Raw genomic sequence first — 10,049 nt, 5'->3', positions numbered from 1 at the left:
AAATTTCTTCTTCTACAGTGAGGGATTTTTAAGCCAGCTGTCAAAACAAGAATTATATGTGTTGTTTGTAGAAACAGAGTTGTTTTCTTCCTACCTAGGAGGTCTATCCTCTTTATGCAAACTTGCATTATTTGGGTGCATGCTCTGTTTCTGTCAACCTATATTATGTTTCTCAGCTAGTCTTTGAATCATGGATTGCTTTTGTTTGAGAATGTTTGGAAAGGTTGCTACCATACAATAAAAAAGTGAAATTCATAAATGCCATCCTCCACTCTGTATTATCCTACTACATAGCTATAAAATTAAAAACCCATGAAGTTTCAAAATATAAATATGAGGTCAAACCATTTCAAAAGAAAGAATTAAGAAAGAAATTCATTTACAAAACAACCACCAGATATATCTGTTCACAGTGTTTACCTCCAGTGATGTTCCTTTATGGTTAGAGTACTTTAAGATAGCAAGAAATGTAGGATGTTACAACATCAGGAACAAAGAATTTTTTTTTTACCTTTAGCGATTTATTGATATTTATTCAGCTGAAACAGAAGTTTGGAAATCAATGTTTGGCAGTTATCTGCAGCTAGACTATAGCAACAACTTGTAAAAAACAGAACGTCCATAGACACCAAGATATTTGATAAGAGCTACTAAAAATGTTTTTTTCATCACTGTCCTATGCAGTTTTTATTAATCAATTCTACTTTGTTTCTGGTTTTCATTAATTAGAAATCAATTTTATGTGATTGGAGGAATTCCCCATGAATCTGACAAGTCATACATATTAGTATTATGATTAATTTAAATACATACACACACACACACACACACACACACGAACTTTTTTATGTGTTCTAAGTACTTTTTGACCTTGAATCATCCTTGCAAGGTAAACAGAGAACTGTCTCTAATATGCTCATGCCATAATGGAAACACCTTAAACACTATGAAGCTCTATTCTAAGCTACAGCACTGTTTCTCCTAATTCAAGTAATAAAATGAAATATATTAGAAGTTAAATACATTTTTAAAAACTATACAAAGGAAAGATATGGCAGGGAGTATCTGAGCTACCCCTAAACCTGTGCTTTTGACTCCTAGCTCCTAGGTTGTTTTCATACACAGAGGATGACCCTACACCCATCACCCTCACACAAGGTCTTAAATAGGGAAAAGCACATCTATTATTTCCTTAATACTTTACTCAGGCAAAGATAACTTTTAGAAAAACAGTGCTATAGATAGAAGATATTACTAAGAATTTATTATGTGCTAACCTCCTGAGGCTATTTGAATATTACTTCATGTGTAATGTGGGGATAATGTATTTCATTGCCTATGAACAGTATTTTGATTAATTAAATGCAGTTATTCAATTAAATGAACACTTAATAGGAGGTTTATCATAAAAATTACAGTTCTGGGCAGCATTGGAGATTCAGCTAGGGTGAGCACACCGCATAGTGGGGATCATAGTTCTTATTAAGACTCTTGAAGTTACATCAGGAAAAATCTCAGGTAGCCCCTAACTGCACATTCCCATCATGCTTTCGCTAAAGCATAAGAGACATTCAGTGTCTGTCCTGCAGCCTGTTTATGCAAAACCACTCTGATTTTAACTGACCAATTTCTTCCTTTTAGCATTTACTTTTTCTGAAATTTTTTGTATGTGTAAGGTAGGATTGCCTAATTTATCTTTAGTTATGCTTTTACTTTTTAAAATGACTATGATGTGTAATATCTTAATATTCCATGACAGAATATAGCAAATTGTTTATCTTTTATTAATTGATAGGAGCATATGCCTCTAAGATATTACACATTAGTGTCACTTTGTGTATAGAAGAGGAACTCTTTAATGCATGATTGTTTCCTAATGACTAGCACAGAGCCCGGCACTTAATAACAACATCGATTATCAATGAATGCAAGAATAAATAAATGAATAAGAGAACAAGCAAATGAATGAGTAAATGTCAGGGTTAATGAGAAAAAACTCCAGCTCAAATGACAAATGCGAAAGAGGTCATAATTTTAAAAAGTATACTGGAAATAGGACAGGATGCTAATTTTGCTACCCACCTGTTTTCATATAGGTCAGCTTATACATTAACAAATCCGTGTTCATATTTCTTTTATTTGAAAGGTATTGAATCCAAATGTTGAGAGGCTTGAGCAAACATGAATGAATAGTGTTACATAGGATAAGAGATAAAAACAGTTAAAAATGACGATTATTTCCTTGAGATCCACATAACCTAAAACTTCAACCAGATTATTTTTTTGTATTCATCTCCAGATATCCTGATGATGATTAGTCATCTGCAGTATTCCACTGGTAACTGAAACAAACAAACAAACTGAAAGGTTGGGTTTGCCAAAAGCAGGTCTTGAAACAAGGATTTGTGTTGACATATTAGCAACTGACTTCTGGAAACACTAGTCGTGTGTTTAGAGAAAGCAAGTACTAGGAAGGGATGGAGGCTAAGAAAAGGTGACATATCAAGCAAAATATGATAAGGAGTAACTTTGGCTCGATCCTGCAGGGAAGCTCCAGGGCTAGCACAGGCCACATCAGAGTTGCCCTGCTCAGGAGGAGAAGATCTGGAGCATTTCTCCTCATGTCCCTTTTGAGTGCTGCCTCAGAAGCAAATGTAAGTTCCCAGGCAATGTCCCCACCCATGAGTGCCAGCAGGCAGGATATCACAACTTGAGGGAAGGCTTCTAGAAGGAGACAGGTGTTGACTGTTGGGAGTCAATGTGTTAAAAATGTAAAGGCATCCAATGGTGATATGCGCCCAAGCACTGAAACAAACTGTTTGCTATATGGCTCAGTCTAAATATCTTTAGGCCATTTTCAATTTAATATTTCTTTTTACAAAACTTATACTAAGAAGTAGTTATTTATTGTAAGCAATGAAAAACTGTAAAGATTGAATTGACAAAAAAAGTGGAAAACATCAGCCAAAGTCATTATTTTATTAGACTGTTGCAAGATTGATACCCACAAATTAAAAAAAGAAAATACTGGAACCTAGAACCAGTTTATAAACACAAACACACATGCTCACACATTAAATATACATAGTAGGCAATTATTTTAAATAAATATAAATATAATTATGTTCATTATGAACCAAAAATTCAGTTTAATATATTTTCCCAGTTATACTCAATGGCAGATACTCCTCTTCCTTCTTCTCTGTATTTTTGCCTACATGCAGTCAAGTCCTTAACTTGTATATAACTGTCTCCCTTCAGTTTTTTTTTCTTCACACTGCAACCAATTTGCATTTCTCAACCTGAAATCTGATCAAATTACTTGCCTGCGAAAATGATCACTCTTTCCCCATCACAAACATGGTTTTGTTTGTCAGTTTCTTGGAAAGGCTTCAGTGTCTGCTACGATCTAGCACCTACATAACAAACTGCTTTCTTTTCTGAACCTCCCCCATTCAGTGTGGAATGATGAATCAAGAATCCCCGTGATCCTTCAGGTCTTCATGTTTTACAGAAGTTGTCTCCTTCCCTGTAATGGTCTCACCTCCTCCTGGCTGACTTGTGCACTATCCTAGTTATAGTTCAGGAGGCTGTTCAGAAAAAGTGGCCTGTGAATATGACTCTGACCTCTCCTTTCCTGCACTCCCCATGCACACCAGAATTAACCCTTTCATAATCTAGTTAAATTTTTATTTCCTAACACTTTTGGTTTTGCATTTATTAAACTAGAGCAAAGGTTCTCACCTGGGGGTGATTTGCCACTAGGGGACATTTGCTAAAGTTTGAAGAAATCTTTGCTTCTGATCATTTAGAGGGGATGTGTGTAGATATTAGGATTCAATGGATAGATGCTGGGGATGCAGCTAAACATCCTGCAGTGCACAGGGCAGACCCTACAACAAAGCATTATTTGGTCGCGAATTTCAATAGTGCTGAGGTTGGGAAATCCTGCCCTAAAATGACTTTATTTATTTATTTATTTATTTATTTATTTATTTATTTATTTATATGTGTCTCTATTACACTTTAGGCTTCTTTAGGAAGAGTGTTATGACTTACTCATCTTTGAGTGCTTAGTCGTGAGTACACTTTCTGGAATGTGATAGCCACGTTATAGAAGTTTAGTGTAATTAATCACATTGATGCTAACACCTGGGAAAATTAGTGGGGAAATATGTGCTGACATATTTAACTCTAAAACAATCACTTTTTTTGTCCTAGTTTTTGGTTTCAAACTAGTTTTTGGAAGCGAGAAGTCCAAGACCAAAGTGTCAGGAGATTCAGTGTCTCATTCATAATAGGTACCTCTAGCTGTGTCCTCACATGGTGGAAGGAGCAAGGCAGTTTTCTGGGTCCTCTTTTACAAAAACACTAATCCCATTGATGAGGACTCCTCCCTCAAGATTTACTCACCTTCCAAAGGTCTACCTTTTAGAACCATTGTATTGGGAATTGGGTTTCAGCATATAAATTTGGGGGACATAAACATTCACACCAAAGCAGTGGCTTTCACAGTGAAATAAAATGAGTCCCCAAAATGTGTCATCTATATAATTGCTTTATATTCAAGGAGAAAGCAAATATAATTCTTTGACAAATTTATTAAAGGTCCAACTCTACAAATTCTATAATACTTTTTGAAGCTTTTTTCTGAATTTAAGATTCCTTCAGAATTCTGTTATGAAATTTATACTAAGAGGCAGTCATTTATTATAAGATGAAAAACTGCAAAGATTGAATTGACAAAAATAGGAAATACCAGCCAAAATTATTTTATTGGAGCACAAGATTGTAACCTAGTCCCAGTTTATACACAACACACAAACATAATCACTCACTCACACACCATATATACATACATATGCAATTATTTTAAATAAATATACATTTGGTAGGATAATTAATGTAGACAGCAGAGCATGGTGGCTCAAGCTTGAAATCCCAGCACTTTGAGAAGCTGAGGTCGGAGGATCCCTTGAGCCCAGGAGGTCAAGACCAGCCTGGGCAGCATGACAAAATCTCTTATCAACAGAAAAATACAATTTTTTTTTCTGTGCTTCCATATACATGCATCTGTGTTTCCAGATACTCAGGAGGTTGAGGCAAGAGGATTATCTGAGCCCAGGAGGTCTGTAGTGAGCTGTGATTGTACTACCACACTCCAGCCTGGGAAACAAAGTGAGACACTGTCTAAAAAAAAGAAAAAAAAAAGAAAAAAAATTAATGTAGATAATGAGCATAGTGTCAGACAAATCAAAGGTTACAATGTAAGTGTATTAAAGACCATTTTAAGCATTTTAAGAATTAATTTACTAAGAACTTCTTTAGCTTCTGAATTTCTTTTCACTATAAGAAAGGGAAAAACAGCAGTGAATCAGTCCTAATTGTTTTTTGTTTGTTTGTTTTTGTTTCCCTCAGTGTGAGAACTGTCACAGAAACTGTTTATTATTATCCTGTGTTTAAATTTAGGGTCTGCTATGGTTTGGACGTGTCCCCCAAAGTTCATGTGTTGGAAACACAGTCCCCAATGCAACAGTGTGGGAGGTGGGATCTCTAACAGATGACTAGGACATTATAGTTCTGCCCTTGTGAATGAATGAATGCTGTTATGGGAATAGGTTCCTGATAAGAAGATGGGCTTGGCCTCTGTCTCTCTCTGTCTCTGGCATGCTCTGTTGTCCTTCTGCCTTGTGCCATAGATGACACAGCAAGAAGACCCTGGCTCAATATAAGCCCCCTGACTTTGGATTTCTTAGCCTCCAGAAGTATGAGAAATAAATCTCTTTTCAATATAAATTACCTAGTCTCAGGCATTCTGTTATCACAGCACAAAACAAACTAAACAAACTAAGACAGGACCACATTTTAAAATTTAGGGCACTTACTTTTGCGATGGAAAGTGCCTTCATTCTAGCCTGACAAAGGTGGGTTCAGTGGATGGCAGCAAACACAATTATTGAACAGATCAGAGAAAAATTTCACAATTTTCTCAGTCCTTAATTGCTTTAATATTTAAATCCTGGCCTTCTGGAAAGTCTCAGGTGGTGAAATCAAAATTCATATTAAAATGCAAATGGGCAATTAAATAATTGAAGTTATTTAAATAATGTATATTCTTTATTTTCATACCTGCTTGAATATATATTGTAAAGGCGAGTTAATTTATGCTAAAAAATTATGAGACTTCTGAAAAATGTTCTCACTCAAATGTTAATCATTTCTTTCTCCACCTGTTCTTGTTTGGACCCTTTATCATTTTCCCTTTTTTAAAATGACAAAATCATTCTTTGTAAATAACTAGTTGGAATAAATTAATTATACAATTTTTAATTGAAAATTTACGAAAATTATCAAAATATGCAAATAATTAAGGCAGAGCATAAATATATATATGTTTTTATGTATATATAAATATATATATGTCCACAATAAGAAAGAGAAGTAATATGAGCGGTTATGTGCATATATCATGTTAATATAATAGTTTGAATTGTAGTATATGCAATAAACATCTAATCAAATCTTATATAATTTATTAGAACCATCTCAAAATTGTGGCATATAAAATATTGTTGCATTTGGATCAGTGAGATATTTAGATTCTCCACTAATAAAAATAATGAAGAATTTTGCTCACAATAAGGTAACTGAGAATTTTTATTTTAAATAATAATTTGTATGCATGCAAACAAATACACACACATGTAACATGCTTATGGTATGAAAAAGGAAGGGCAAGTCTTCCTTCTTACAGTGGTTTGCTGTTGAGTTTTCACTAAAATACATTTATATCTTTTAAAAAATAACTGTAAAAATACATACACAACTCTATTATGTTCTTTAAAATAAATAGTTTTCTTTATTTCCCAGAACTTGTGCCACAGCAAATACAGCAAAAACTACTCAGCACGTTACAAGAGTAGTGAGCTGTCTATCTTCTTCCGCGGGGAAGACACTGACTTTATTTTTTTATTTTAGTATCTGCCAATTCATGAAAGTGAGTTATATATTCCTTTCATTCTCCCATGAGCCAAAGGATAAGAATAGTATCCTGGGTGTCACTGATCCACCACACATGCTGGCTGTGCGACTGCGCTTGGAAGAGGATATTACTTGCCTGGTGACTTAAGCAACTACCTCTGCCTTTTAATGAACATTCATGAAAAAAATGCAAATTTGTGTTCACTAGATACATAATCAATCACAACTACACAGCTGGAAGAAGTAGTGACAGAGATGGGGGCCAGAAATCCACTCAGCTTTTTGTCCTGTTTAAAATACATTTAAAGGATTGGCCCAATTGGCAGTGTTGGAGAAGGCATCACCTTGAGGGCCAGTTGTGGGGTCACTACAGCACCGTCATGGGAACGTCCATCTAGCCTCCATTGTGAATGGTTTTAAGAAATTTGGAAGGCCGAGACAGGCGGATCAGTTGAGGCCATGAGTTTGAGACCAGCCTGGCTAACATGGTGAAACCCTGTATTTACTAAAAATACAAAAAAATTAGCCAGGTGTGGTGGCGGGCGCCTGTAATCCCAGTTACTTGGGAGGCTGAGGCAGGAGAGTCACTTGAACCCAGGAGGCAGAGGTTGCAGTGAGCCGAGACCGCCTGGGCAACAAGAATGAAACTCAGTCTCAAAAAAAAAAAAAAATGAAATTTGTATATAGGGGATGGAAATGCTTATAGGTTTACTGAAAATCCTTTCATTTGAAATTAAAATTATTTAGTAAATAATGGCTTGATATTTGGGGCAGGATTTGAAGGGGAGGTAATTAAAAGCCTGTTGATTATGCAGAAAGGTGCTGTTAGTGACGATAGAATGCCTTTATTTTGTACACCATTCAAAATATTGGACATCTGACATTTTCAACCAAAACTTCAATTATATACTGTGATTTTTCACTTGTTGCAATACATTAACATTTCAGAGCTACATTGGGTTAAAAAGCTGGGATTTCTAAGTCAGTATGTACATGTGCATTTCATATAAAAAGCTTTTAATGGTGTGCAGAGTATTATATACTAACTGGACTTTTCCACATCTGTATGTTATATGTATTTTGTGGTATTGAAATTAAAGAAAGTTTAGCATGTCAAACATGCATTTAATGCTTATTTTTAAACAAATTTATGACAATTAAAATACTTGGAAACAAGGCTATCACATTTTAATTTTTAGAGAACTTTTTACTCTACTGGTCATTAAGATGTTTTGTATAATGCCAAACCATACCTGGTGAAATTGAATAAATATCAAATAGATCTTTTAAAAAAGAATTGTCACTCTTGGTGGAAATGCAAGTCTGAATTAGGAAGACAGACAGAACCCAGATTCCTCCTCCATGTTGAATTTTAAATAGTTGTTATCTGTTGATAAAAAAGTTATCCAAAGGAAAAGAGTTTCTTTACTCTGATTAATGCAGTGACATTTTAACTAAATAAATTGTAAGTAAACTAAACTAAATAATTTATTTTTTAAAGATTTTAATGGCACACACACACACACACACACACACACACACACAACATAGCTATAAAACTTCAATTTTGTATACAAAACTAACCAGGTACCTGGGGTCTACCCTTAGGGAAAAACAGGGCTTCTCTCTGCTTCTTGCCTGCCCTCTTGCCAATATTCTACTCTCCAGATCCCCAGACACGGGACTGAGTTCTAATAATAATGTTTTGGTTTTAAAAAGGTCTCTTCTGGAGTTTTTTTAAAAAGTGTGTTTCTGAGCTTAGGTGGAGATGCTTGTCTACTTTTCATATCTTTTCTTCCATGAACTGGTGCTAAGATTCTGTAAGGGAAATATGGCTAGATCCAATTTTGGGCCATTCTAAAAAAAAAAAAATCCAGTAGGTGAAAATTTTAGAAGCAGACAGAGCTGGGTGTATGACAGCTTATCTATTCACATGTTTAAAGTGACCCTGGACAAGTTATCAATATTCCTAATAGCACATTGTTGAAATTAAACATTATACTTTGACTAAATTGTCTGGCACAAAGAAGGCTCATAATTAATTTTCTTTCTTCCCATCGAATCCTTTTCTTCCCTTTTTTCTCTGAATGAGAAATGCTACCAATAAATAGTTGAGGAACATTGAGTTACAAAGCTTTCTTTCTCCTATTAGGTCCTCTTTCCCTTTCAGTGAGTGATCGTAGTGTCTACTTATTTTCCTATTTTTCTTTCTTTGTTTCGTTTCCTTCTATCATGTTTTTCATGATGCAAGTTAGACCTTACCACTATTTTCCAGAAAGTTCCTCTGACAACATTTGTTGCATTTTAAACAATTACCATATAGACACTTGGAACACCATCTGTTTGTAAATCAATGATTTCCTTCTTTTGCCTATTTTCTGATACATGTTACCTGGTAGAAGAAAGGAGAAATCCCTGTATAAAATATTTTTCTATCAAGATTAGAAATGGAGTAATTAAATGTCTCTTTCTATTATTGTACACGACATAATACAAGAATACACAAAAAGCCAAAGATGACACTATTCTAGTCAATAACAAAGAAAGGGAAGGAATGGATGAGGAATGTCATTATTCTCAGGAGTATACAATTATGTGTGCTTCTATGGTGATAGCACCCTTCCCCCTGCATTCCAAATTGCATTGTCTCCTTTGTATAGTAAGAATAGAGAGGCTATATCCAGACCATGAGTCATTTTTCCCCTGTAACAAGAAGAGATTCTTTCTATTCAAGGGGCACTCAGGGCTCATGGCATGCCATGAGGTACAGCAGTGGGTAATTAGCTTCTCTTTCTCATTCAGCTATCCTAGTGTCTACTTCCTCAGTTCATCCTTTCATTCTTACACCATAATAGAGGTGCTACACATAATTATATTTTTTATAAATAAACATTTATGAAGATCACTACCTAAAATTAAATCTAAACTAGAGTTAAATAAAGTCACCAGATACCTCTTACTTTGGCAGATTTGTTTTTAAAGGAAAAGATATATATGTATATAAGTTTCAATTTTGAGTCAGTTCACAAGAATGCCCATGTAATTTGGAAATACCTTGTACGACTGTT

The sequence above is a fragment of the Homo sapiens genome, chromosome 18, assembly GCF_000001405.40.
Source record: "Homo sapiens chromosome 18, GRCh38.p14 Primary Assembly".
Classification (NCBI taxonomy): domain Eukaryota; kingdom Metazoa; phylum Chordata; class Mammalia; order Primates; family Hominidae; genus Homo; species Homo sapiens.
This window is presented reverse-complemented; position numbering follows the sequence as displayed.